This window comes from Homo sapiens, chromosome 16 (genome assembly GCF_000001405.40).
Source record: "Homo sapiens chromosome 16, GRCh38.p14 Primary Assembly".
In the NCBI taxonomy this organism is placed as follows: domain Eukaryota; kingdom Metazoa; phylum Chordata; class Mammalia; order Primates; family Hominidae; genus Homo; species Homo sapiens.
Window position 1 is genome coordinate 89,740,962 of NC_000016.10, and position 27,130 is coordinate 89,768,091.

The 27,130-nt window shown below is 50.9% G+C and overlaps 1 protein-coding gene across 2 annotated transcripts in view, besides 8 other annotated features; it reads right to left on the bottom strand.

Annotated features, from left to right (window-relative positions):
• FANCA (FA complementation group A) overlaps positions 1-27,130 on the bottom strand; it is a 79,099-nt gene that overhangs the window by 3,413 nt on the left and 48,556 nt on the right. For both annotated transcript variants that reach the window (NM_000135.4, NM_001286167.3), the window contains exons 27-37: positions 26,180-26,276; positions 23,929-24,105; positions 20,988-21,061; positions 17,616-17,744; positions 11,177-11,261; positions 8,769-8,941; positions 7,698-7,806; positions 5,870-5,929; positions 5,623-5,727; positions 3,998-4,110; positions 1,839-1,977 (exon numbers count right to left, since the gene is read on the bottom strand). In NM_000135.4, the coding sequence (NP_000126.2) occupies positions 1,839-1,977; positions 3,998-4,110; positions 5,623-5,727; positions 5,870-5,929; positions 7,698-7,806; positions 8,769-8,941; positions 11,177-11,261; positions 17,616-17,744; positions 20,988-21,061; positions 23,929-24,105; positions 26,180-26,276 (1,261 nt within the window). The remainder of the gene's footprint in view (positions 1-1,838; positions 1,978-3,997; positions 4,111-5,622; positions 5,728-5,869; positions 5,930-7,697; positions 7,807-8,768; positions 8,942-11,176; positions 11,262-17,615; positions 17,745-20,987; positions 21,062-23,928; positions 24,106-26,179; positions 26,277-27,130) is intronic.
• Positions 89-258: an enhancer, noted in NCBI's record as "experimental_46706 CRE fragment used in MPRA reporter constructs". NCBI's record gives its function as "activates a minimal promoter by MPRAs in K562 erythroleukemia cells, with activity observed for the introgressed 16:89807543 variant allele {active_cell/tissue: K562}" and the evidence as "EXISTENCE:reporter gene assay evidence [ECO:0000049][PMID:34662402]".
• Positions 374-543: an enhancer, noted in NCBI's record as "experimental_46707/46708 CRE fragment used in MPRA reporter constructs". NCBI's record gives its function as "activates a minimal promoter by MPRAs in K562 erythroleukemia cells, with activity observed for the introgressed 16:89807828 variant allele {active_cell/tissue: K562}" and the evidence as "EXISTENCE:reporter gene assay evidence [ECO:0000049][PMID:34662402]".
• Positions 677-877: a silencer, noted in NCBI's record as "peak2667 fragment used in MPRA reporter construct". NCBI's record gives its function as "represses an SCP1 promoter by STARR-seq MPRAs in K562 erythroleukemia cells {active_cell/tissue: K562}" and the evidence as "EXISTENCE:reporter gene assay evidence [ECO:0000049][PMID:32103011]".
• Positions 2,508-2,677: an enhancer, noted in NCBI's record as "experimental_46713 CRE fragment used in MPRA reporter constructs". NCBI's record gives its function as "activates a minimal promoter by MPRAs in K562 erythroleukemia cells, with activity observed for both the introgressed and non-introgressed 16:89809962 variant alleles {active_cell/tissue: K562}" and the evidence as "EXISTENCE:reporter gene assay evidence [ECO:0000049][PMID:34662402]".
• Positions 3,174-3,343: an enhancer, noted in NCBI's record as "experimental_46714 CRE fragment used in MPRA reporter constructs". NCBI's record gives its function as "activates a minimal promoter by MPRAs in K562 erythroleukemia cells, with activity observed for both the introgressed and non-introgressed 16:89810628 variant alleles {active_cell/tissue: K562}" and the evidence as "EXISTENCE:reporter gene assay evidence [ECO:0000049][PMID:34662402]".
• Positions 5,740-5,909: an enhancer, noted in NCBI's record as "experimental_46718 CRE fragment used in MPRA reporter constructs". NCBI's record gives its function as "activates a minimal promoter by MPRAs in K562 erythroleukemia cells, with activity observed for both the introgressed and non-introgressed 16:89813194 variant alleles {active_cell/tissue: K562}" and the evidence as "EXISTENCE:reporter gene assay evidence [ECO:0000049][PMID:34662402]".
• Positions 24,009-24,118: an enhancer, noted in NCBI's record as "active region_11420". NCBI's record gives its function as "activates an Ori minimal core promoter by ATAC-STARR-seq in GM12878 lymphoblastoid cells {active_cell/tissue: GM12878}" and the evidence as "EXISTENCE:reporter gene assay evidence [ECO:0000049][PMID:35858748]".
• Positions 24,279-24,348: an enhancer, noted in NCBI's record as "active region_11421". NCBI's record gives its function as "activates an Ori minimal core promoter by ATAC-STARR-seq in GM12878 lymphoblastoid cells {active_cell/tissue: GM12878}" and the evidence as "EXISTENCE:reporter gene assay evidence [ECO:0000049][PMID:35858748]".

Below are 27,130 nucleotides of genomic sequence, written 5' to 3' on the forward strand. Positions count from 1 at the left end.
ACATCTAGGCCATAAATCCTTTAAGTGGATCTTAGAAAACTTTCCAATCACTTCTAGAGAGACAGCTTAATTGAGAATTAATTACTACTGGCTGGGTCATTTCACACTTGCCTTTAAACAAAGCTAGAAACAGTTTGAAAAAGTGACAAGAGCCAGAAAGAGAAGACTGCTGCGGTCTCCTTGGCTGTGCGCAGTCCCAACTCAGCATCATCTCCCTGCAAGGCCTCCTGTCAGAAGTGTTTGTAAAATCCTTGAAGATAAGCCCACAGGCTCCAGCCTAAAGTAGGGCCTGACTGGGCAGGGTCTCTGTGGACACTCCTCGCTGCACACTAGGGTCCTAAGGCCCTGGAGCCACTAAAATCCCTTCTAACAAAACTACACAAGAAACCTGAAGACGTACTCAGAAGAACCCCTGCAGGGTGGTTATAATCACCAAAACCCTGGGCGCTGCTGTCGATCCAGCTTTGAGCTGGTGTAAGTTGTGTGCTGACATGGCACCTATGCGTTGCGGATCTCGGGCTGGGCACAGAGGGCTGCTGCCTCCAGCTCTCTTGTGGGATGCTTGTTTCTGTTCCTGTTCTGCACACACCACCCTTGGCTCCCTGCACAGAGAGCTGTGTGGGTGTCACTGGTCTTGTGGGGGCAGTCAGGCTTTCCAGGGTGCAGCAACCAGGTGGGCAGTGGGTCTGAGTCGAACATGGTCCCTGGCCTGGAATTCAAGAGCAGCCTCTCCCACTCCTTTCCCTATGCCTATGGCTGCAGACGGTCCCATCCTTGCTGCCTCTTGTCCCCAGCACCCCAGGTCTGAGCTGTCTCACTGCAAGCTTATCTGGGGCTGTCCCTCAGCACATGAATCAAGGCTACTGCAGCATGAACACAGAAGGCACCACTTGAAGGCTGACAGCATTTACGCTGGGCTGTGATGAGGATAAAAATAAGCTGAAGAAACGCACTTCAAGCCTGGGCAACACAGTGAGACCCCCATCTCTTTTAATTTTTACTTTAAACAAATTTTTTTTTTTTGAGACAAGTCTCGCTCTGTCACCCAGACTGCAGGGCAGTGGCGTGATCTTGGCTCACTGCAGCCTCTGCCCCCTGGGTTCAAGTGATCCTCCTGCCTCAGCCTCCTGAGTAGCTTTACAGGCTATGGGATTGTAGGTGCGCACCACCACACCCGACTAATTTTTGTGTTTTTAGTAGAGACAGGGTTTCACCATGTTGCCCAAGCTGGTCTCAAACTCCTGACACCAAGTGATCCGCCTGCCTCGGCCTCCCTAAGTGTTGGGATTACAGGCATGAGCCACCATGCCTGGACTACAGACCCCCATCTCAGAAAAAATTACAAAATTAGCCGGGCATGGTGGCACACACCTGTAGTCTGAGCTACTCCAGAGGCTGAGGTAAGAGGATGGCTTGAGCCCAGAAGAGGCTGCAGTGAGCTGACTGCACCACTGCACTCCAGCCTGGGCGACAGTGAGACCCTGTCTCAACTACATACAACCATTTAAAAAACTGAAATTATTATTTTTACTAGTAAACTTGATAGTCAAAGTCTTACTCCAAGCCAGCTGGGCGTGGTGGCTCACGCCTGTAATCCCAGCACTTTGGGAGGCCAAGGCGGGAGGATCACGGGGTCAGGAGATCGAGACCATCCTGGCTAACACAGTGAAACCCCGTCTCTACTAAAAATACAAAAAAAAAAAAAAAAAAAAAAAGTCTTGCTCCAAGCCACATATTTGTCTTTAGAAAAACAGTTCATCAGACAAGCCCAGAGAAATAGCACTGATTGAAACCAAGCTTGCGAGAAAATAAATCAGTAAAAGAATTTCCTATCTTGCCTCCTCTCTCTCGCAGTCCAGCTTCTTTAGCTGCTTCCTGATGTTTTCTTCCCTGACTTGTTGAATCGCAAAGTGCAGTGCAGCAGCTGAGAGCCAGTCCGGGTTGGGTGCTGGGGAGGCAGCCTCAGGGGAGAGGAAACTGGGACAGAGAGAACGGGGTCATTGCAGGGCCTTACAACCATACAACCACGCCATAGAAACCAAGTCCTTATTCCCACCTGTCACCTTTGGGGCCTGCCTTTCCATCAGAGGACAGAGAAGGGTTTCAGGACCATCAGAAACTAGGTCTGCATCCCCCAGGTCCACGTGAGAGTGTGGGCAGGTGCTGGTGCTGCCCCCACAGCATCCTGGCGTTCTGAGAGCTGCTGACTGAGCAGGCAGCTGGCCTGGTCCTGTCTACCTTGCCCTGTGCTCTTGGGCCCCAGCTGCCTACATTTTGGAAGAAGAGGCCTCATTTTCCTCAGTTGCCCATGCCTGGCCCTGTGGATCAGGCATTCCCTCCTACAACAGAGAACAAAGGACTGCCTGGCTCTGGCCCCAGTGTGGTGTCTGAGTTTTCTGGCTGGTTAAAAAATTGGTAGGAAATTAATGAAACAATGCTGTGGTTTAAGAGACTTTAAATAAGCTGGGCATGACGGTTCACATCTGCAATCATAGCACTTCAGGAGGATCGCTTAAGCCCAGCAGTTTGAGATCTGCCTGGGCAACACAGTGAGACTCAATCTCAAATAAACAAAAACGAGGCAGGGCGTGGTGGTTCACGCCTGTAATCCCAGCACTTTGGGAGGCTGAGGCAGGCAGATCACCTGAGGTCGGGAGTTCGAGACCAGCCTGACCAACGTGGAGAAACCCTGTCTCTACTAAAAATACAAAATTAGCCAGGCATGGTGGCTCACGCCTGTAATCCCAGCTACTCAGGAGACTGAGGCAGGAGGATCGCTTGAACCTGGGAGGCGGAGGTCATGGTGAGCCGAGATCGTGCCATCTCACTCTAGGGTGGGTGACAAGAGTGAAACTCTGTCTCAAACAAAACAAAACAAAAAACAAAACTTCAGACAATCTGATCTGTGTTTGTAGAATTAGAACTGGAGGTGTGACCTGCTTTCTCCTTTTTTGAGATGGAGTTTCTCTCTCATTGCCCATGCTGGACTACAATGGCATGATCTCGGCTCACTGCAACCTCCACCTCCTGGGTTCAAGCAATTCTCCTGCCTCAGCCTCCTGAGTAGCTGGGACTACAGGCGCACACTATCACACCCAGCTCATTTCTGTATTTTCAGTAGAGATTGTTTCACATGTTGGCCAGGCTGGTCTCAAACTCCTGACCTCAGGTGATCCACCTGCCTTGGCCTCCCAAAGTGCTGGGATTACAGGTGTGCGCCACCGCGCCGGGGCCCTCTTCTCTTCTTTCAGCAGACGGCGAGCAGCCAAACCCTGAGGGGACCCGGTGTGGCATCAGTGATTCAAAACTAGTCACAAAGTAAGGTGTTCTCCAAGGAGGCAGGATGGGTACTAGCAGTGCCCTCTGACGACCCCTTAAGAACACGGCACCCACATTCAGCAGGTGGAGTGGCTGTCAGCTCTGTGGTCCTCAGAAGGGTGTGTGAGCCTGGATTGCGCCAGGAGCTTGATGGTTTGCAAGGACCCGTGAATATCTGACTGGGGTCGACAGGTCAGGGTAGGCTGAGAATCTGCATCCCTGAGGTCCCCATGACACTGACCCTACCAGCACGCGGTGCACTCTAGGAGCCCACATTAGATTTAAGAGGAAGGGGAGCAGGTGCAAAGGAATCACTCGAGCTCCTCACTCAGACGGGAGCCTGGGAGAGGCCGTTCCTCACTCAGACGAGACACTGGCAGAGGCTGTTTTTTTTTTTGTTTTTTTTCTGGACAGAGTCTTGCTCTATTGGCCGTTGGAGTGATCTCGGCTCACTGGAAACTCCACCTCCTGGGTTCAACTGATTCTCCTGCCTCGGCCTCCCCAGTAGTTGGGATTACAGGCGCCCACCACCACGAGAACTCGGTTCTTTTCTCCCTGCTCACACGAGAGGCTGCCCACACCGCTTCTCTCAAGCAAGCCAGGGTGTTTAGGAGATGACCTTGAGCAGGTCCCGAAGTGCATCTGGGCGGGCACACCCCATCTCACCACCCACACGTACTCGCTGGCAAACTGCCGGCCTTCTTGTAGCTTCTGCAGTTCCCGGGGCAGCGGGCTCTGGCAGTGTCTCCTCCACCGGCAGAGCAGCACAGGCTCCAGGCTCGGCCACCACACCTATGGAGAGAGCACCAGCACACAGATGAGGGTGGCTGAGATGGACACACCTCCGCTGCCCCAGCCATGACAAGCCCCCAGTGCTCCTACAGGCCACTACAGGCCCACACTCGCCCTGCGCTCTGGAACTCCAAAGCCAGTATTTTTTACGTCAATTAAGGCTCAAAGCAGTTCCATGAGGCATTTATTACCCACACTCATGGAAGACGTGGAATTTGGAGAAGGAAGAGCCTGGCCTAACGCAACAGTGAAGGGACCACACTCCCCTGAGCTGGGAACGAAACAGTGAAGGGACCACAGTCCCCTGAGCTGGGAATGAAACAGTGAAGGGACCACACTCCTCTGAGCTGGGAACAAAACAGTGAAGGGACCACACTCCTCTGAGCTGGGAACAAAACAGTGAAGGGACCACACTCCTCTGAGCTGGGAACGAAACAGTGAAGGGACCACACTGCCCTGAGCTGGGAACGAAACAGTGAAGGGACCACACTCCTCTGAGCTGGGAACAAAACAGTGAAGGGACCACACTGCCCTGAGCTGGGAACGAAACAGTGAAGGGACCACACTCCTCTGAGCTGGGAACAAAACAGTGAAGGGACCACACTGCCCTGAGCTGGGAACAAAACAGTGAAGGGACCACACTCCTCTGAGCTGGGAACAAAACAGTGAAGGGACCACACTGCCCTGAGCTGGGAACGAAACAGTGAAGGGACCACACTCCTCTGAGCTGGGAACGAAACAGTGAAGAGACCACACTGCCCTGAGCTGGGAATGCCTGGTCCTTGGATGCCCTCAGCTGAGAGGTGGCGTTCTAAACACCGAAGAGTTCATTTCTCACGAATTCCACCAACTGAGCTACAACTCGGTGCAAATGCAGCCTGCTTGGGGAGCTCCCTGGGGAACATGCCGTGCTGCGGAGAAAAAGGCCCTCCTGTCCCTGATGACCGAGAAGGAAGGGCGACAGCTGTGGTCTTCAGGACTAAGTGAGCCGCCAGGGAAGTGAGGGAAATGCTGCCCTCCTCCCACTCTCGGGACCCTGGGCTGCTAGGGGAGCCTGCTGAGCTCTGGCGGGAGCTGAGGTGAAGTCTCTGCTCCGAAGTCCCAAGAAAGCATAGTCAGGCGCAAGTGGGCCACAGTCATGCTCTCGTGACGGGGCACAGGCAGCCACCGTACAGCCTCCAGCCAGTGCACAACCCAAGACCGTGAACAAACAAGCCCTGCACCCCTGTGGACATGAAGGTGCCCGTGGGGTCTGAGTGGGGTCCACAGGGGAGAAGTCCTGCGGGTGCCATGGTGACGGCGGTGGGGGCAGGGACGGTTCTGGGAACTCAGGATGTGCGGCCCTCATCTGCTATGAGCTGGCATCTTTAACTGTGGCTTCCATGTCTCCTGATGCATTTTCCCTGAGATGGTAACACCCGTGATGGAGACGTGCTGCAGAGATGCCAGAGGCAGCTGTGGAGTCTCCCACTCATCCCCAAAACAAAACACCAAACAAGACAGCTGACCCACCAGAGCAGAGGTCAAAATTAAGGGGCATTTCGTCTGGCACTTGGCCAGTATGAAGTCGACCATCAGGGAGGGGTCTCTGCTCCGCAGACAGGCGTTCAGGAGGCCCTGCAGGAGAGAACGCAGCAGGAGGTCAGCGGTTTGTGAGGACCCACAACTAGTAGAGTGAAGGAACTCACAGGAAGCTGACAGGAGGATCCACCCACGGCGTTCTGAGAAGGCCACGAGAGGGGCTGAGGGAGCATCTCACCCTGAAGAAGTGGGCAGTGATGTCCTGTGTCAGGGCACCTCCGTGGGAGCAGAAGTTTCTCTGCAAAAGAGTTCAAGGCAGGTAAGAAAAGCCCACAGGAAGAGAGGCGAGACCAACATGCAGAGTGGCTGCTGTGGATTCAGTTTTGAGAAAAACACTCGCTAAGGCTTGGCGTGGCCACCATGGATGGTGCTCCTGGGCTGACCGGGCCTGGCGCCCTGGCTGTGCTGTCCTGAAACTTAACGGCTTCCCTGGGCGGCCAGATCCTGCAGCCCACCAGCTCTGGCCCAAACAGTCTTGTAGGCTCCAGGAAGAAGCCAGGGAGGCACAAGCAGCCGCAGGGAAGGGGACGCACCCGGAGCGTAGAACTGTGGTGAGGACGACACTAATACCAAGGGCCAACCATCCTCTGGTCCCTTCACTAACCAAGTGCTGTCTATGGTGTTTTCCTGTCTGTCGGCTGTCACGTGCCAACTGAGAGCTTTCTGAAAAACAGCCATTCATAAGAATTCAAAGGAGACCATAGTGATTTTCTGAAAGCTTTTGCTAGTCTCACGTCCTCTGCTTTCCTTGTCACATTTTGAAGTGCTGCACAAGGCCGGGCTCACACCTGTAATCCCAGCACTTTGGGAGGCCAAGGCGGGTGGATCACGAGGTCAGGAGTTCAAGACCAGACTGACCAACATGGTAAAACGTCATCTCTACTAAAAATACAAAACTTAGCCGGTCATGGCGGCAGGCACCTGTAGTCCCAGCTACTCAGGAGGCTGAGGCAGGAGAATCGCTTGAACCTGGGAGGCGGAGGTTGCAGGGTGAGCCAAGATTTCACTGCTGCACTCCAGCCTGGGCGACAGAGCAAGACTCTGTCTCAAAAAATAAATAAATAAATAAATAAATAAAAATATAAAATGCTGCACAGCTGGCATGGAACCTGAATTCCATCTCTCACATTTGTGCATCTTCAAAAACAAGAAAAAGGCCTTCGGGAGCAGAAGCTGCTCTCTGTAGAGTGGGAGGGGCTGGTATCCGTCTCCCCAGCTCTGACCAACTGGGTCCCTACGCTGCCCGTCCCCACAGCGAGTGTCACTTCTTTTTATTTGAGACAAGAGTTTCGCTCTGTCACCCAGGCTGGAGTGTAGTGGTGGGATCTTGGCTCAGTGCAACTCTGCCTCCTGGGCTCAATTACTCCTCCTGACCCAGCCTCTCAAGTAGGTGGGAGTACAGGCGTGCACCACCATACCCAGCTAATTTTTCTATTTTTTGTAGAAACAGGGTTTTGTCATGTTGCCCAGGCTGGTCTCGAACTCCTGGGCTCAAGTGATCCCCCACCTTTCCAGAGTGCTGGGATTACGGGCGTGAGCCACCGCACCCAGCCTGCTGGTTAAGATCACCCTGCAACTCACGCTGGGCAGTGTCTAAAATGGAAGATAACTGGGCTGCCTGGCAGGCAACAGCGGTAGTCAGATCACCACAAGGCTTTTTTTACACATGAAGCATGTTGAGATTAGAAATAAATGAACCGAGGTGCGTGGCACACAAAATGGTCTGTACGATTCCATGTGTCAAAATCATTAAAACTTGAGGGAAACTAAAGGAACTCAAACTTGGGAGAAGGCAACCTACAGCTGGTTTGGTGATGTGCTGGTCGCCGTCCTGGCTGTGGGTGGGGTCCTCCCTCACATGGCATTCCAGACACTGTTCCCTATTTGACTTTGAACCCTTTCCTCAGTAATTCACACGGTCAGTACACGCATGGAGGCTGCAAGAGCTGCTGTTAGCGCCACAGGCACTGACAGATCGGACGGACACGTGCACACGGGGCACCTACCATCTCAGAGTTGACCAAGTGGAAGAACTGCTCGCATCTGGCAGTGATGGGCTGTTCTGCCTGGAAGCTGCTGCCGCAGAGGACAGACGAAGGCAGGCGGAGGAGGATCCTGGAAAGAAGGGGCTGTATTGGTGGCGACAGCACAGCGTACACTCTGCTCCTTCCCAAGGGCTCAGACTCTCAGAGCAGCAACCACCACCCTGAAACCCAGGGCCACTGTTGGAACCAGAGCCTTGGCCTGTGTCCCTCTGTCCCATCCAAAGCCTGCACTCTGAGCCCACCTCCCCTATACTGTGTTTGGCCCACTGCATTCAAAATGTGTTACCAAACAAACAACTTTTAACAGTTACATAATAACCAACAACTTCTGACAGTTACACGATAACCAAGTGGATGACGCACCAGTCTGTCTAGTGAAGCAATTCCCTATGACTGTAAAATTAAATGACTCCACGCTGCTTCTTATAAATGCAGCCGCCGTGGGCATTTCTGAACACTTTTCCCTACTTTCACAAGAGCTCCTTCTGCGACGTCCCTCCACGTCTGAGCAGGAAGGTTTTGTTGTTGTTGTTGAGACAGAGTCTCGCTCTGTTGCCCAGGCTGGTGTGCAATGGCGTGATCTCGGCTCACTGAAACCTCTGCCTCCCAGGTTCACACCACTCTCCTGCCTCAGTCTCCCGAGTAGCTGGGATTACAGGTGCCCGCCACCACACCTAGCTAAATTTTTTTGTATTTTTTTTGTATTTTTAGTAGACATGGCGTTTCGCCATGTTGGTCAGGCTGGTCTCAAACTCCTGACCTCAGGTGATCCACTCACCTCAGCCTCCCAAAATGCTAGGATTACAGGCATGAACCACCTCGCTTGGCTGGAAGGTTTTAATCAAAAGTACTTTCAACCCTCCAGATCCTCTTCTCCGTGGCATGTGCCACAGAAATGGACAGGCTTGGGGTGGGGACACACAGACAAGTAAGTAACGGGAAACAAACTCACTACAAAGAACCTCTAGGACCGTCATGAGATGCTGCCCTGCCCAGGTGGTGCTGCCCTGCCCAGGTGGTAGTAGGTGTTACCGTTTGTACATTAGCAGCTCCCTCTGTCTCTGAAGGCTGGCAGCCACGCTCCACCCGCTTGTCAGAGCCTGGAGCCGTCTGCGGAAAATCTCAAAGAGGAAGTGCTCCTGGGAAGGGGTGTGGCCGAGAGGCACTATGAGGTCTTGCTGCAGCTCCAGGTCAGCTACCATCTCCTGAAAAAGAGCAGTATGCTGGCACAGGAAGGCCTCGGGGCTCACTGCCCAGCCAGTCGGGGACCCAGACGTCAGGGGTCAGGGAGAGGTCTCCACAGTGGACAGGGCAAGAAGGAACAAGTGGGGCAAGCTATTTCAATTGGAAATCACTTTGAAATTGCAAATATAGAACAGTGCAGGCCGGGTGCTGTGGCTCACGTCTGTAATGCCAGCACTTTGGGAGGCCGAGGCAGGCAGATTCCTTGAGCCCAGGAGTTACAGTACTACTTATCAACTACTTATCAATTAAGAAAAAACAGCTGGGCGTGGTGGCTCATGCCTGTAATCCCAGCACTTTGGGAGGCCAAGGCAGGAGGATCACGAGGTCAGGAGATGGAGACCATCCTGGCTAACATGGTGAAACCCTGTCGCTACTAAAAAATACAAAAAAATTAGCTGGGCATGGTGGCGGGTGCCTGTAGTCCCAGCGACTCAGGCGGCTGAGGCAGGAGAATGGCGTGAACCCGGGAGGTGGAGCTTGCAGTGAGCCCAGATCGCACCACTGCACTTCAGACTGGGCAACAGAGTGAGACTCCGTCTCAAAAAAAAACAAACAAAAAAAAACAGCCAGGTATGGTGGCTCACGCCTGTAATCCCAGAACTTTGGGAGGCCAAGACAGATGGATTACCTGAGGTCAGGAGTCCAAGACCAGCCTGGCCAACAAAATTAGCCATACAAAAATTAGCTGGGTGTGGTGGCAGGCGCCTGTAATCCCAGCTAATCAGGAGGCAGAGGCAGGAGAATAGTTTGAACCCGGGAGGTAGAGGCTGCAGTGAGCCAAGATCCCGCCACTGCACTCCAGAGCAAGACTCTGTCTCAAAAACAAACAGACAAAACAAAACAAAACAACAACAAAAAAAAACAGCAGGAGGACACTCATGTGCCCTTCACCCAGATTAACCTCTGGCTAACATTTTACCCCACACATCATTTTTGCCTCACAAGTCTTTTGTTGTTGTTGTTGTTGTTAGGACAGTCTCAGTCCGGTTGCCCAGGCTGGAGTGCGGCAGTGCAGTCTTGGCTTATGGCAGCCTTGACTCTCGAGCTCAGCTGATTCTCCTAAGTCAGCTTCCTGAGTAGCTGGGACTATAGGTACACACCACCATGCTTGACTAGTGTTTTGTATTTTTAGTAGAGATGGGGTTTCACCATGTTGGCCAAACTGGTCTTGAGCCCCTGACCTCAAGTGATCTAGCCACCTCAGCCTCCCAAAGTGCTGGGATTACAGGCATAAGCCACCGTGCCTGGCCGGCTGTATTTTTTAAAGAAGAATAAAGATCAGGTGCAGTGGCTCACGCCTGTAATCCAACAATTTTGGAGACCGAGATGGGTGGTTCACTTGGGCCCAGGAGTTCGAGACAAGCCTGGGCAACATGGCAAAACTCCGTCTCTACAAAAAATCAGCTGGGTGTGGTGGCGCACACAGGTGCACGCTGTCAGGATTGCTTGAGCCCAGGAAGTCAAGGCTGCAGAGAGATATGATCGCACCACTGTACTCTAGCCTGGGTGACAGAGCAAGACCCTGTCCCAATAATAATAATAATTATGATTACAATTAAGAGGAAAAAGCAGATGGTCTCACTGAGAAGGAGCCAGGTGGGTCTAGGGAAAGCATCTGGCTAAGGAGTTGGGAGGCCCCAGAGCTGGCGGAGGGAGAGACAGGGGCCTGGCACAGAAGACGCACGGGTGGCCAGCACCAGTAAATGCCTGTTGACTGACAGTGAACCCACACAGGTACATGCTGCCTACCTGTATAGACTTCAGGTGATCCACCAGCCTCGGACTCCCAAAGTACTGGGATTACAAGCCTGAGCCAACAATAAATATCTTTTTTTTTTTTTTGAGACGGAGTCTCACTCTGTCGCCCGCCCAGGCTGGAGTGCAGTGGCACAATCTCGGCTCACTGCAAGCTCCGCCTCCTGGGTTCATGCCATTCTCCTGCCTCAGCCTCCCGAGTAGGTGGGGCTACAGGTGCCCGCCACCACGCCCGGCTAAATTTTTGTATTTTTAGTAGAGACGGGGTCTCATCGTGTTAGCCAGCATGGTCTCGATCTCCTGACTGTGTGATCCGCCTGCCTCGGCCTCCCAAAGTTCTGGGATTACAGGCGTGAGCCACCGCGCCTGGCAATAAATATCTTAATAGCACGCGGCTTAAATGAAGTGAATGCACTGAGTTGTGGCACCCTCAAACTCACCTGCAATCTGGAAATAATATCCTCATTTCCTGTGCGGCCACCAAAGACCAAATCAGAATTTTCTGAGTGGTCATAACTCCTTGAGCTGAAATGAAAATACAATAAAATCCTCCTCAGTATCGCCTAATAGTGCTGAAGTTCCCAGTTCTCCTCCTGCCTCCGGAGCTGAGTGATGGCTGTGCTTCTCTGACAGTGTGACCCTCACATTAGTCAACAATAAACAACAAAAACTGCCACAAAATACTACCAACCCCAACCTAGGAAATACAAAAATTATGTACCATGACCAAGGAGGCTTATCCCAAGAATGCAAGGATGTGGGTGGCAAGCCACCCAGGCACCAAGGCAAGAGACAGAGGACACGAGCTGTTCCAGTATAATAAAATATAAAACAAGAATAGTTATACCAGATATAGATCTTAGATATGATTACATATGAATATCATTAATCATTAGTTGGTAGCAATTACTTTTTATTCCAATATTATGATAATCCTCACTCAATAATCATAGCCTAGGAAAAACCAGGCCATACAGAGATAGGAGCTGAGGGGATATACTGAGGTGTGACCAGAAGACAAGAGTGCGAGCCTTCTGTTGTGCCCGGACAGGGCCACCAGAGGGCTCCTTGGTCTAGCGGTGATGCCAGCGTCTGGGAAGACGCCCGTCACCAAGCGGATCGTGGTCCAGCGGTAGCAAAAGGTGTCAAGGAACAACACCCACTACTTAGCAGACCGGGAAAGGGAGTCTCCCTTTCCCCCGGGGAGTTTAGAGAAGACTCTGCTCCTCCACCTCTTGTGGAGGGCCTGACATCAGTCAGACTCGCCCGCAGTTATCCGGAGGCCTCACCGTCTCCCTGTGATGCTGTGCTTCAGTGGTCATGCTCCTAGTCCACCTTCATGTTCCATCCTGTACACCTGGCTCTGCCTTCCAGATAGCAGTAGCAAATTAGTGAAAATACTAATAGTCCCTGATATGCAGAAATAATGGCGTAAGCTGTCTTTCTCTCTGTCTCCTCTCCCTCTCTGCCTCAGCTGCCAGGCAGGGACGGGCCCCCTGTCCAGTGGACATGTGACCCACGTGACCTTACCTATCATTGGAGGTGACTCACATTGTTTACCCTGCCCCTTCTGCCTTGTATCCAATAAGTAACAGCGCAGCCCGACACTCGGGGCCACTACCGGTCTCCGCGCATTGGTGGTAGTGGTCCCCCGGGCCCAGCTGCCTTTTCTCTTATCTCTGTCTTGTGTCTTTATTTCTACACTCTCTCATCGCCGCACACAGGGAGAGACCCACCGACCCTCCGGGGCTGGTCCCTACACAAGGATAGCTTAAGATCCCCAAACCAATATAACGCAGTTATCAATAAAATAAAAAGCAAAAACCGTAAGATTATCTCAATAGATGTAGAAAAAGCACTTGACGAAATGTGACATCCTTTTGTGATAAAAACACTCAATCAACCAGGAACAAAGGAAATCTTCTCAATCTAGTGCCTGGCATGGATGAAAACCCACAGCAAACGTCAGATTTAATGAGGAAAGACTGAAAGCTGTTCTCCTAAGATCAGGGGCAACAAGGATGTCCTCTCTACACTCAGAACAGTGTCGCTGCCTCTACTCAACACTGCACTGGGGACAGACACGGTGGCTCACGCCTGTAATCCCAGCACTTTGGGAGGCCGAGGCAGGCAGATCATCTGAGGTCAGGAGATCGAGACCATCCTGGCCAATGTGGCGAAACCCTATCTCTACTAAAAATACAAAAATTAGACGGGCGTGTTAGCGGACGCCAGTAATCCCACCTATTGGGAGGCTGAGGCAGCAGAATTGCCTGAACCTGGAAGGCGGAGGTTGCAGACAGCTGAGATAGTGCCACTGTACTCCAGCCTGGGACACACAGCGACACTCTGTCTCAAAAACAAACAAACAAAAATTAGCTGGGCATGGTGGCGGGTGCCTGTAATCCCAGCTACTCGGGAGGCTGAGGCAGGAGAATCGCTTGAACCTGAGAGGCGAAGGTTTCGGTAAGCCGAGATTGCACCACTGCACTCCAGCCTGGGTGACAGAGCGAGACTCCGTCTCAGAAAAAAAAAAACAAAACAAAACAACAACAAAAAAAACAACACTGCCCGGGGAGTTCAAGCCGGGGCAATTCAACAAGAAAAAGAAAAAGCATCCAGATAGGAAAGGAAAAAGTGAAACTATCTCTCTTCACATATTATATGATCTTTCTTTTGTTTTTTTGTTTTGAGACTGAGTTTCACTCTTGTCGCCCAGGCTGGAGTTGCAGTGGCATGATCTCAACTCACTGCAACCTCTGCCTCCTGAGTTCAAGTGATTCTTCTGCCTCAGCCTCCCAAGTAACGGATTACAGGAGCCCACCACGATGCCCGGCTAATTTTTGTATTTTTAGTAGAGATGGGGTTTCACCATGTTGGCCAGGCTGGTCTCCAACTCCTGACCTCATGATCCGCCCACTTCACCCTCCCAAAGTGCTGGGATTACAGGCATGAGCCACCATGCCTGGCCAGACACGATCTTATATATACAAAGCCCTAAGGAATCGATACAAAAACACTCTTAGAACTAATAAATGACTAGAGCCAATGAATATACAAGAATCACTGGTGTTTCTATACGTTAGCAACAAATGATTCAAAAGGAAAGAAGACTCGCTATCACTGAGATGGCAATACTGCCCCACATGCAGTCCGTATCAGGGTCCCAGCTACTTTTGTCGAAACTGACAAGCTCATCCCAAAATTAAGACACAACTACAAAGCACCTAGAAAAGCCAAACCATCCTGAAAAAGAAGAACCAAGTTGGAGGCCTCACACTTCCCAATTTTAAAACCTACTACAAAGCTTCATCCCAATGACGCAGTGCATATGGACATACAGACCAAGGGAACACAATGAGAGCCAGAAACAAACCCTCACACGAGCAGCCATCTAACTTTTGACAAGGGTGCCAAGACCATTCAGTGGGGAAAGAAGTGTTTTCAACAAATGGTGCTGGGACAACTGCATGGCCACAAGCAACAGAATAAAGCTGGATGACCTCACACAACAATTTTTTTTTTTTTTTTGAGACAGTCTCTCACTCTGTCGCCCAGGCTGGAGTGCAGTGGCACAATCTGGGCTCATTGCAACCTCCGCCTCCCAGGTTCAAGCAAGTCTCCTGCCGCCTCAGCCTCCCGAGTAGCTGGGATTACAGGCGCCTGCCACCATGCCTGGCTAGTTTTTGTATTTTTTTAGTTTCGCCATGTTGGCCAGGCTGGTCTCGAACTCCTGACATCAAGTGATCTGCCCGCCTCAGCCTCCCAAAGTGCTGGGATTACAGGCGTGAGCCACCGTGGCTGGCCCAAAATGTTTTCTGATCCATCAAAATGAATCAAAATCCTAAAGAGCTAAACTAAAAATAAATGATCTGGACTTTATAAAAATTTAAAACCTTTGTGCATTAAACGATACTATCAAGAGAGTGAAAAAAGAATTAACAGAATGGGAAAAAATATTTACAAATCATATATTTGATAAGAACTTTATCTAAAATATATAAAGAACTCATACAACTCAGTAAGACAAATACAGTCATGAACTGCTCAATGACAAGGATCCATTCTGAGAAACACATCTTTAGGTGGTTTCATCACGTGAACATCCAAGAGCACAGACACAGACCAGAGCCCCCCGCACACCTAGGCCACACGGCACGGCCCACCGCACAGACACAGACCGGAGCCGCCCGCACACCTAGGCCACACGGCACGGCCCACCGCGCAGAAACAGACCAGAGCCCCCGCACACCTAGGCCACATGGCACGGCCCACCGCTCCCAGGCTATAAACCGGCATAGCATGTAACTGTATTGCATGCCGCAACTGTAACACAACAGTATTTGTGTATCTAAACATAGAAAAGGTACGGTAAAAACACAGTTTAAAAAAAAGGTACAAAAAATTATGGCTATGTGGGATTACTGTCATATATGTGGCTCGTTGTTAACCAGAACATTCTTATGCAGTACATGAATGTGACCCAGTTTTCAAATGGGCTAAGGATGTGAACAGATTTCTCCAAAAAAAATCTAAAATGGCCAATAAGAAAATGGAAAGATGTTCAAAATCACTACCCATTAGGGAAGTGCAAATCGAAACCACTATCAAATAGCACTTAATACCCACTAGGATGGCTACCATCAAGTCAGGCCTGGCAGAGGTTCACGCCTGTAATCCCAGCACTTTGGGAGGCCGAGGCGGGCAGATCACCTGAGGTCAGAAGTTCAAGACCAGTCTGGCCAACATGGTGAAACCCCATCTCTACTACAACTACAAAAATTTGCCAGGTATGGTGGTGCCTGTGGTCCCAGCTACTTGAGGGGCTGAAGCAGGAGGATCACTTGAGCCCAGGAGGTCGAGGCTGCAGTGGGCTGCAGTCACTGTACCCCAGCCTGGGTGACAAAGAAAGACCCAGTTTCAAAATAAATATAAATAAGACAAAGTAAGACTATCTCAAAAAACAAACAAACAAAGTGAATGGATAAACAAAATATGGCTGATCTTTCTGTTCCGCAGTGAGCAGCTCTGTGCAAACCTACCCATAAAGGCTGGGGAAGCTGGAAGGCTGAAGAGAGGCTGAATAATCCAGTTTCTCAGACAGAAACGTTTAAGGACTTACAGACAGAAACCATGTCTCAGGCAGCCTAGAGAGACGATGCATCCCTGCACTGTTACCCCCAGGCAGGGCTTCTATACCACAGGGAAGGACTATTGAAGTCAACCCCTCAGGGAAAGGCAAGAATGCTCTGTGAATCTAACCGCTGGATTTATGGTGGAAGATTTGCTTTTTTGTTTTGAGATGGAGTCTCACTCTGTCACACAGGCTGGAATGTAGTGGTGTTTTCACAGCTCATTGCAACCTCTGCCTCCCCGGCTCATGCAATCCCACCTCAGCCTCACGAGTAGCTGGGACCATAGGCACACACTACCATGCCTGGCTAATTTTTTTTTTTGTCTAGACGGTTTCACCAGGCTGGTCTCGAGCTCCTGAGCTCAGATGATCCGCCTGCCTTGGCCTCCCAGTGCTGAGATTCCAGGCATGAGCCACTGCGCCCAGCCTCAAGGTTGTTTTGACCTAAGAGTGGGATTTAAGGTAACAGCAGATAAATGGGAAATCTCAGGAGGCATTCTTGGAGTAGGGTTAACAAGAAGTCACCCACGATGGAGGTGCGTCAGCCTCCATACCTTCTGTGAGCATCAGTCAGCCATAAGAAGGAAGGGTATGCTGATATGTGCTACAACACAGATGAGCCTCAGAAACATTCTGCTCAGCCAAAGAAGCCAGACACAAAGGGCCACATACTACATGATTCTGTTGATATTAAACATCCCAAACAGGCAAATCCATGAACATAAAATGGATTCGTGGTTGCCGCAGGCAGGAGACATGGGGGGAAGCTGCATACACACTTGCCATCTGTACTGAATGCTGCAGCTGTAACACAACAGTGTGAAGCTGCAAACAAGAGCCCCTGGGGACAAAGCCTGGACAGCCCCAGGTACACTCCGTCCATCCTTCTGGCCCACATGCAACACCTCAGGAACTGCTCTGTCCTGAGAATCCCTCTCAGATGGAGAGAGGCTGTGATGCCCAGGATCTACTAGGCCATTTGTGCCGTGCTTCACACATGCTCACCTTGAATACCAGGTGACAGAACAGAAAAACAACGTTGTTGCTATTTTTATCTTTTTTTTGAGACAGAGTCTTGCTCTGTCGCCCAGTCGGCTCACTGCAACCTCTGCCTCCCAGGTTCAAGCAATCCTCCTGCCTCAGCCTCCCAAGTAGCTGGGATTACAGGCACCCGCCACCACACTCAGCTAATTTTTGTATTTTTAGTAGAGAGGGAGGTTTCACCATGTAGGCCAGGCTGGTCTCTAACTCCTGACCTGAGGTAATCCACCCACCTCAGCCTCCCGAAGTGCTGGGATTACAGGTGTGAGCCACCACGCCCAGCCCGAAGTTGTCGCTTCTGACAAGTCTATACACATAAAGAAACAACCGATGCAGGAAGCTTGGCTTTATTTTGTATTGACATAGATTTGCTATGTGATAGGCTCAAGTGTACTTTGCATACCAAAATTGGACTGAGAGAAAAATGCATTCTTAGAACTACCATGATTAAAAGTAAGGCCTCATCGGTGTGTGATGGTTAATACTGAGTGTCAACGTGACTGGACTGAAGGATGCAAAGCATTGATCCTGAGTGTGTCTGTGAGGGTGTTGCCAAAGGAGACTGACATTTGGGTATAGGCTGGGAAAGGCAGACCCACCCTAAGCTAATTAGATGGGCACCAGCATGGCCAGAAACTCCCCTTTATATATATCCTATTAGTCCTGTCCCTCCAGAGAACCCTAATACAGTGTGTGCTGCTAACCTTTGGTGGAAATCCATCAGTGCGTTGACAAGAATGGTACACGCAGCCTGCAGGTCTCCGTCACAGCCCCCTGAAGCCGAGGACTCAGGGAGAAAGTGCTCATGGATCGCCCACTGGTGGAAGTCCTGCCTAGAACAGCAAACACTGCTATCAATTCTGAGAAATGCTTCGTGGCCAGCGGTTCCCCATAACCAGGGAATAGGCCCATAGTAAGGGACACACAGCACTAGTGAGAGCTGGGTTGAGACTGGCGGCTCGGGACCTTGGAGTAGGGATGAGACCTCACTGTCTGCAGGGTGGGATGCCTGGGGATGTGGGAAAGGCCTGGTCTCAGGAGTGACCTTTGTGACCCCACCTTCCACGGATCAAAGGCCACTCAGGATGACATCCCACGGGGTAACTGCTGGCCACACAGCACATGAGCTTGGTGAACAGAATAGGCAAGCACAAAAATGTAGGCTGGGGCAGGTGCAGTGGCTCATGCCTGTAATCCCAGCACTTTGGGAGGCTCAGGCGGGCGGATCACGAGGTTAGGAGATCGAGACCATCCTGGGTAACACGGTGAAACCTCGTCTCTACTCAAAATACAAAAAATTAGCCGGGCGTGGTGGTGGGCGCCTGTAGTCCCAGCTACTCAGGAGGCTGAGGCAGGAGAATGGTATGAACCTGGGAGGTGGAGCTTGCAGTGAGCTGAGATCATGCCACTGCACTCCTGCTTGGGCAACAGAGCGAGACTCCGTCTAAAAAAAAAAAAAAAAAAAAAAAAAAAAAAAGTAGCCTGGAAAGTCACCTGAGGGCACCTGAGCTACTCACAGGCCCACCAGAAGGGGATGGTGAAGCAACCTGCATCCAGACTGTGGACTCTGTGGATACGGATGGGAAGGGGCTCAAGGAGACACTGACTCAAAACTGCAGTGGCTACACCTGTAATCCCAGCACTGTGGGAGGCCAAGGTGGGAGGATCACTTGAGCCCAGGAGTCTGACATCAGCCTGAGCAACAAAGGGAGACCCCATTCCTACAAAAAATAAAAAAATTAGCTGGGCATAGTAGTGCCCACCTGTGGTCCCAGCTACTCAGGAGGCTGAGGCAGGAGGATCACTCGAGCTCTGGAGAGGGAAGCTGCCGTGAGCCGTGAGTGCATCACTGTACTCCATCCTGGCCAACAGAGTGAGACCCTGTCTCAAACAAACAAACAAATCCGCAGTGCACAGAACCATCAATACCGCAATCCATTTATGCAGAAAGAGCCACAACCAGGAAAACGCTCCACACGACCCTGCAAATGTGAGTGCTAGGGAGTGTGTGCTCTCCTCACACTGTCCGGGACTGGGGTGCTCCACCCACGCTGTGCGGGACCTGGGTGCTCCACCCACGCTGTGCGGGACCGGGGTGCTCCACCCACGCTGTCCGGGACCGGGGTGCTCCACCCACGCTGTCCGGAACTGGGGTGCTCCACCCACACTGTCTGGAACTGGCACAGAATGTATCTAAGTATCACTTAAGTAATTCAGAAAAGAAAGAAAATCCCGCAACACATCTCAACACAACTTCCACGCAGCGGTGACCTGATGCAGCATGACCTCATGCAGCAGACAAGCCCCTCCCTCTGACCTCCTCCTTAGACTCCACCCCAGAGAGCAGCCGGGAGGAGAAACGGGGGTGAGTGAAGGAAGCGCCTGCAGAGCGGGCTTGGCACGACCTGAACCATCAGCACGTGTTTTGCCGCAGGCAGCAGCGAGTTTTCTTTTTGTGGCCCCTATGTTTTCCTTTTCCTATTACTTCCATTGGTTTCATCCAGAATCTGATACCAGGATCCAGGTGCAGGCGACAGTGCTGCATGTGCCTGGAAGGCCCCTGATGGCCGGAAGGACGAGGAGCACAGGGTGGCTGTTGCCAACCCTCTCCTGAGTCTAGGTGTGGCAGGCACCCTGAGGCCCATATACCCACCAGGATACTCCATATCTGCAGTGACCACATTCCCCTCTCCCTGACCTCCACCCTAAACTCCACACCCTTAAACCCAACGGTCCTCTGGGCTCCCTACTCCTATGCCCAGAACAGCACATCTGGCCTCTCAAATAGTCTCAAATGGTCTCAGTCATCAGCCCTGGGACTCATGGGGGTTCACTGCTTCATTTACCCACTTCTTGGTGCCCCCAAGTCAAGGCTGGCATCACTCCTCAAAGTCTGCACCACCTGCTCCACACCAGCCTCTGCTCCTGCCTGGTCATTTCCTCTCACACGGCCCTGTCTGTTATCTCCAGGGCTCATTCCTACCTTTAATCCACTTCTGTATCTACCTGTGTGTTGCCAGGGCCTGGACACAGGTGTACAGCTCCCGGACAGCAGCCATAGCCCAGCCAGGGTAGGGTGAAGTCTAAGTGGGTGCCTTATACGTGCCACATCTGCCCTCATTGATACAAAGGTGCCATATGGGCAGGCTTGTTTATTCCCCTCTATACTCCCTGCTTCTAGAACACTCTAGAATTGTCTGCCACATGGTAGGAGCTCAGTAAATGTTTCTTAAATAAAGGAATAACAACCGAAATTGGGCAACCTGGCCAGGCGCGGTGGCTCACGCCTGTAATGCCAGCACTTTGGGAGGCCAAGGCAAGTGGATCACGAGGTCAGGAGATTGAGACCACCCTGGTTAACACGGTGAAACCCCGTCTCTACCAAAAATACAAAAAATTAGCTGGGTATGGTGGCGGGCGCCTGTAGTCCCAGCTACTCGGGAGGCTGAGCCAGGAGAATGGCGTGAACCCGGGAGGTGGAGGTTGCAGTGAGCCGAGATCGCGCCACTGCATTCCAGCCTGGGTGACAGAGCAAGACTCTGTCTCAGAAAAAAAAAAAAAAAAAGAAAAACAGAAATTGCCACCGCGTGGAAGCTTTACTTTCGCTTTTGCTTTAATAAATCTTGCCACCGAAAAAAAAAAAATTGAAATTGTGCTCAAAGATTAACAGGTAAACCAAACATTAAATTGAGGATAAAATGACGAAACATAGGCTTTAAGGCAATGTGGAAAACCGTGTAACATTTTAAAGGGAAGCTCCTTTTTCTTTTGAGATAGGGTCTCACTCCGTTGCACAGGCTAAAGTGCAGTGGTGTGATCTCAGCTCGCTGCAGCCTCTACCTCCCAGGCTCAAGCAATGCTCCTGCTCAGCTTCCCAAGTGGCTGTGATGACTGGAACGTGCCGCATGTCCGGCTAATTTCTTTTCTATTTTTTGTAGAAATGGAGTTTCCCCATGTTGCCCAGGCTGACCTCAAACTCCTGGATTCAAGAGATCTCCTGCCTCAGCCTCCCAAAGTGCTGGGATTATAGGTGTGAGCCATCATGCCTGGCCAGGGTAGCTCTTTTCAACACTTACCGTTCAGTATCTGAAAGAGCATCAGCTTCAGGTTGAATTTCCAGCTCCAGGTGTAACCAGTCTTGGTAAGTTAACTGAGAAAGAGAGCAAGCAATTCAATACAATGAGGACAGAACACACAATCCACCGACAGGTTTATAAACCAGTTTGTCATTTCATCTCATACGCAGTCCTCCATGTCCCTGTGTTATAATGAAATTGCAGCTGAGAGTTCCACAGGAAAGAAACCTTAGTTTTATCAAGAATGATTTCTTACAGGATTTCCCTAGCACAAAGATGTTAGTACTGTAATCCTTCTTTCTAAGTATAAAACGGCTATTTTAGTCTGGGCAACATAGTAAGACCTCATCTCATTTAAAAATTACCTGGGCACGGTGGCTCATGCCTGTAATCCCAGCACTTTGGGAGGCTGAGGCCAGCAGATTGCTTGAGCCTAGGAGTTTGACACCAGCCTAGGCAACATGGTGACACCCCGTCTCTACAAAAGATTTAAAAATCAGCCAGGTGTGGTGGCACATGTGTGTGGTCCCAGCCTCTTGGGAGGCTGAGGCAGGAGGATCTCTTGAGCCCAGGAGGTCAAGGCTGCAGTGAGTAACAGAGTGAGAACTATCTATAAAAAGGAAAAAAAAAAAAAAGAAAAAAGAAACTAACAAAACAACAACATTCTACAGCTATTCACAGTAGCATACCTTCATTTATTTTTGGAAACAGGTTCTGTTGCCCAGGCTGGAGTGTGTGCAGTGGTGCAATCGTAGCTCGCTGCAGACTCTGCCTCCTGAACTCCAGAATTCTCCCCCTCAGCCTCTCAGATGGCTGGGACTGCAGGTGCACATCACCATGACCAGCTAAGTTTTTTAAAAACATTTTTAGGAGGCCGAGCACGGTGGCTCATGCCTGTAATCCCAGCACTTTGGGAGGCCGAGGCAGGCAGATCACGAGGTCAGCAGATTGAGACCATCCTAGCTAACACGGTGAAACCCTGTTTCTACTAAAAATACGAAAAAAAAAAAAAAAAAGGGTTGGGCGTGGTGGCTCACACCTGTAATCCCAGCACTTTGGGAGGCCGAGGCGGGAGGATGATGAGGTCAGGAGATTGAGACCATCCTGGCTAACACAGTGAAACCCCATCTCTACTAAAAATACAAAAAGTTAGCTGGGCGCGGTGGCGTGCACCTGTGGTCCCAGCTACTTGGGAGGCCGAGTCAGGAGAATCCCTTGAACCCAGAAGGCTGAGGTTGCAGTGACCCAAGATTGTGCCACTGCACTCCAGCCTGGGCAACAGAGGAAGATTCCATCTCCAAAAAAAAAAATAATAATTTAAAAATAATAAAATAATTTCACAAAAGGCTTGGCACAGTGGCTCACACTTGCAATCTCAACATATTGGCAGGCCAAAGCAGAAGGATCACTTTTTCCTATTTTTAGTAGAGATGGGGCTTCATCGTGTTACCCAGGATGGTCTCAATCTCCTGACATCTCAGCCTCCCAAAGTGCTGGGATTATAGGCATGAGCCACTGTGCCCAGCCACCTTGAAATTCTTTTCTAAAGACCAAAACAACCAGGCAAACATCCTCAGAAATAAATCAGTACCAAGGCACACTGGTGAGAGCAATGCCAGCTCCAGTAACCAGGCACACATGGGTGAGCCCAGAGACCCTGAGTGACCACCACACAGCCTGGCAGACATGTTTAAAACAAGTTCCCAGGGGCCGAGCGCAGTGGCTCACACCTGTAATCCCAGCACTTTGGGAGGCCAAGGCGGGCAGATCACGAGGTCAGGAGGTCGAGACCAGCCTAACATGGTGAAACCCCATCTCTACTAAAAATACAAAACTTAGCCAGGCGTGGTGGTGCGCGCCTGTAGTCCCAGCTACTTGGGAGGCTGAGGCAGGAGAATCACTTGAACCAGAGAGGCAGAGGCTGCAGTGAGCCAAGATTGCGCCACTGTGCCCCAGAGTAAGACTCCACCAGAAAAAAAAAACAAAACAACAACAACAACAAAAAACAAGTTCTCGGGCGCAATGGCTCACGCCTGTAATTCCAGCATTTTGGGAGGCCAAGGCGTGTGGGTAATTTGAGGCCAGGAGTTTAAGACCAGCCTGGACAACATGGTGAAACCCCGTCTGTACTAAAGATACCAAAATTAGTCGGGCGTGGTGGCAGGCGCCTGTAGTCCCAGCTACTGGAGAGGCTGAGGCATGAGAATTGCTTGAACCCAGGAGGCAGAGGCTGCAGTGAGCCAAGACTGCACCACTGAGCACAGCGAGACGTTGTCTCAAAAAATATATCAGTAAAAATAAAAAAAGAAGTTCGTGTTGGGAGAAACTGAGAAAGTATAGCAGGGTTTCTCTGTATTTATTAATATATTTTTTTGAGACAGGGTCTTGCTGTGTCATCCTGGCTGGAATAGAGTGGCGTGATCTTGGCTCACTGCAACCTCCACCTCCTGGGCTCAAGTGATTTCTCTTGCCTCAGCCTCCCAAGTAGCTGGAACCAAAGGTGCACACAACTGTGCCCAGCTAATTTTTGCATTCTTTGTAGAGATGGGGTTTCACTATGTTGCCCGGGCTGGTCTTGAACTCCTGAGTTCAGGTGATCAACCCGCCTTGGCCTCCCACAGTGCTGGGATCACAGGTGTGAGCACCGTGCCCAGTATCTGTATAATTTCTTAAGAGCTGCACATGAGGCCACAACGATTTTAGTCAAGATTCCAATCAAACCATCTAAGTGCTGCTGTTCTTGCCTCTGAGGAGACAGTCGGCACACGCACCCTAGACTCGAGACGAGGAGACAGTCGGCACACACACACCCTAGACTCGGGACGTGGCATGATGCAGGGGAAGGAACGGTCACCTACGTGCTGCTGTTCTTGCCCGAGGAGCACACACAAACCCTAGACTCAGGACGTGGCATGATGCAGGAGAAGGAACGGTCACCTACGTGAACATCTTCCTCTTTCAACACCTCTCGGAAGGTTCTGTGTGTCCAGAGAGAGAGGGCAGCTCTCTGCCAGTCTGCAGAAGGAAGGTGCAAGGGTCTCCAGGAAAGGCTGGCTACGTCCTCCTCAGAAAGAGGCTGTCGGGCCTCTGAGAACAATCTGAACATGAGGAACTGAAACTGAAACAGAGAGTGACCCGGCCGTTTCTTCATTGCGCAAGTTTCACTGTGAGTGGCTGAGCAAATGCTCAGGTGGAAACAGACCATCAACAGCCCACACACACAACCCCACATTCAGAGGACCTCAGTCCAGCCCCTGGGAGGGCGCAATACACGACCCCACGTTCAGGGGACCTCAGTCCAGCCCCTGGGAGGGCACAACACACAACCCCACGTTTAGGGGACCTCAGTCCAGCCCTTGGGAGGGCACAACACACAACCCCACGTTCAGGGGACCTCAGTCCAGCCCCTGGGAGGGCACAACACACAACCCCACGTTCAGGGGACCTCAGTCCAGCCCCTGGAAGGGTGCAGAGCCCCTCAGCGATCATGGCTGTGCACAGTGCTCCAGGGAAGAGCCTATGTGCAGACCTTCCTGCCATCTGACTGCTTCCTTGAGCTAAATGTCTGGAAGCAGAATTGCAGGAACAAAACTGCCTCCCAGGGGTAGGGCTGGTTTGGTCCCGGGCAGTGAAACAGCCCATCTCTAGGCCTCTGCCAGGAATGGCGTTCCCACCAAAAATGCACACCAACTGGACAAGCCAGACACACTATTGGTGCTGCGTGACCGTGTCCATCTCTGCCCCCGAGGAGATGAGAGCCTCCCATGTTTATAACCAGCCTGCTCCAAGGACTGTCGTCCCTGCTCAGCATGCTGGGTGGGAACCACGCTGCCCTCTCCTAAGCTCAAACTCCATGTTTTCTTTAAAAACTTGGCACCAGGGACAAAGTTCCTCAGAGGAAATAACTGGAAATACGTGCACCCTGGATCCTCAGGGGCTGCTCCCAGATTCTGACTTAATTTATCTGGAAAGGGGCCAGGAATCTATAGTTTCAAAAGCTTCTCAGTTGATTCTAATGTGAAGCCTGAAGTTGAAAACCATTATTTATTTATTTTTTTTTTTTTTTGAGGTGGAGTCTCGCTCTGTTGCCCAGGCTGGAGTGCAGTGGTGCAGTCTCGGCTCACTGCAACCTTTGCCTCCCTGGTTCAAGCGATTCTCCTGCCTCAGCCTCCCAAGTAGCTGGGATTACAGGCGTGCGCCACCACGCCTGGCTAATTTTTGTATTTTTAGTAGAGACCAGGTTTCACCATGTTGGCCAGGCTGGTCTCGATCTCTTGACCTCATGATCTGCCCGCCTCGGCCTCCCAAAGTGTTGGGATTACAGGCATGAGCCACCACGCCCAGCCTGAAAACCACTATTTTATACACGAGACGTTCATTAAAATCCTATAAAAGGACAACACTGGTTTGCAGTGCCATTTCACCTTTACTTTTGACATTCAGGGTTTCCAATGCTCATCTTTAAATTCCTTTGTCTGGGCCGGGCACCAGCGGCTCACGCCTGTAATCCCAGCACTTTGGGAGGCCAAGGCGGGTGGATCACTTGAGGTCAGGAGTTCGAAAACAGCCTGGCCAACATGGTGAAACCCTATCTCTACTAAAAAACATACAAAACAATTAGCCGGGTATGGTGGCACGTGCCTGTAATCCCAGCAACTTGGGAAGCTAAGGCAGGAGAACTGCCTGAACCCGGGAGGTGGAGGTTGCAGTGGGCCGAGATCGCACCACTGCACTCCAGCCTGGGCGACAGAGCAAGACTCCATCTCAAAAAAAAAAAAAAATTCCTTTGTCTGAACAATGTAAGGAACATTTACTAGATGAGAGGAATAAGAATTCTTCTTTCCAGGGAAAGATACTTATTATGAATACTGATCTTTTAATTCATCTATCCTATAAATGCCAACATCTATTTCATTACAATTACAGACTTGTAGTTGTCTTCATACAACTTCACTTTACACTCAGAGAACACAAGGAAAGGCAGCACTCAGCAGTCAGGCTGCCTAAGCAGACAGCAGAGGTGGCCATGACAGCCAGCCTGACTCAGGAGCTGCCCCATGACAGCCAGCCTGACCCAGGAGCTGCCCCTGAGATGGGCACAAAGCGGCAGCAGACCTCGGCCTTCCGGTCCGAAAGCTGCGTAAACCTGAAACGTATGGCAGAATGGAAAAATAGGAAAAGAGTGAACCTACCTTTTTAATAAGGCCTGGAGATAAGCAGCTGCACAAAGTATCTCGTGACTGGGAAGAAAACTTGCAGAGAGAGTAAGAAATTGCTGCTGTACAAAATCTGAAAACAGAAATTATAACATATAAATGTAATCCATACAAAATAAGGGATGAAGGAAAAAGTTACTTTGAATTTCATAAAACTGAATTTAGTGCATTCCGAACTGGATGGCCTGAGCATTGGTCCTTCGTTTTTTGGTTCGTTTGTTGTGAGACAGTCTTGCTCTGCCGCCCAGGCTGGAGTGCAGTGGCACCACCTGGGCTCACTGCAATCTCTGCCTCCCGGGTTCAAGCGAGTCTCCTGCCTCAGCCTCCCAGGTAGCTGGGATTACAGGCATCTCCCACCATGCCCAGCTGATTCTGTTGTAGTTGTTGTTAGTGCTTTTTTTTTGAGAGGGAGTCTTGCTCTGTTGCCAAGCCGGAGTAGAGTGGTGCGATTTCGGCTCACTGCACCCTCCACCTCCCAGGTTCAAGCAATTCTCCTGCCTCAGTCTCCCGAGTAGCTGGGACTACAGGTGCCAGCCTCCATGCCCAGCTAATTTTTTGTATTTTTAGTAGAGATGGGGTTTCACCGTGTTAGCGAGGATGGTCTCGATCTCCTGACTTCGTGCTCCGCCCACCTCAGCCTCCCAAAATGCTGGGCTTACAGGCATGAGTCACTGCAACCAGTCGAGTTTTTAATTTTTTTTAGTAGAGACGGGGTTTCCCCATGTTGGACAGGCTGGTCTCGAACTGCTGACCTCAAGTGATCTGCCCACCTCAGCCACTCAAAGTGCTGGGATTACAGCGTTAGCCACCGTGCCTGGCCCAGCCCTCGGTTTATTTTTTGTTTTATACAGGGCCTTACTCTGATGCCCAGGCTGGAGTGCAGTCGCACAATCACAGCTCAGGGGATCACTTAAACCCAGAAGTTCA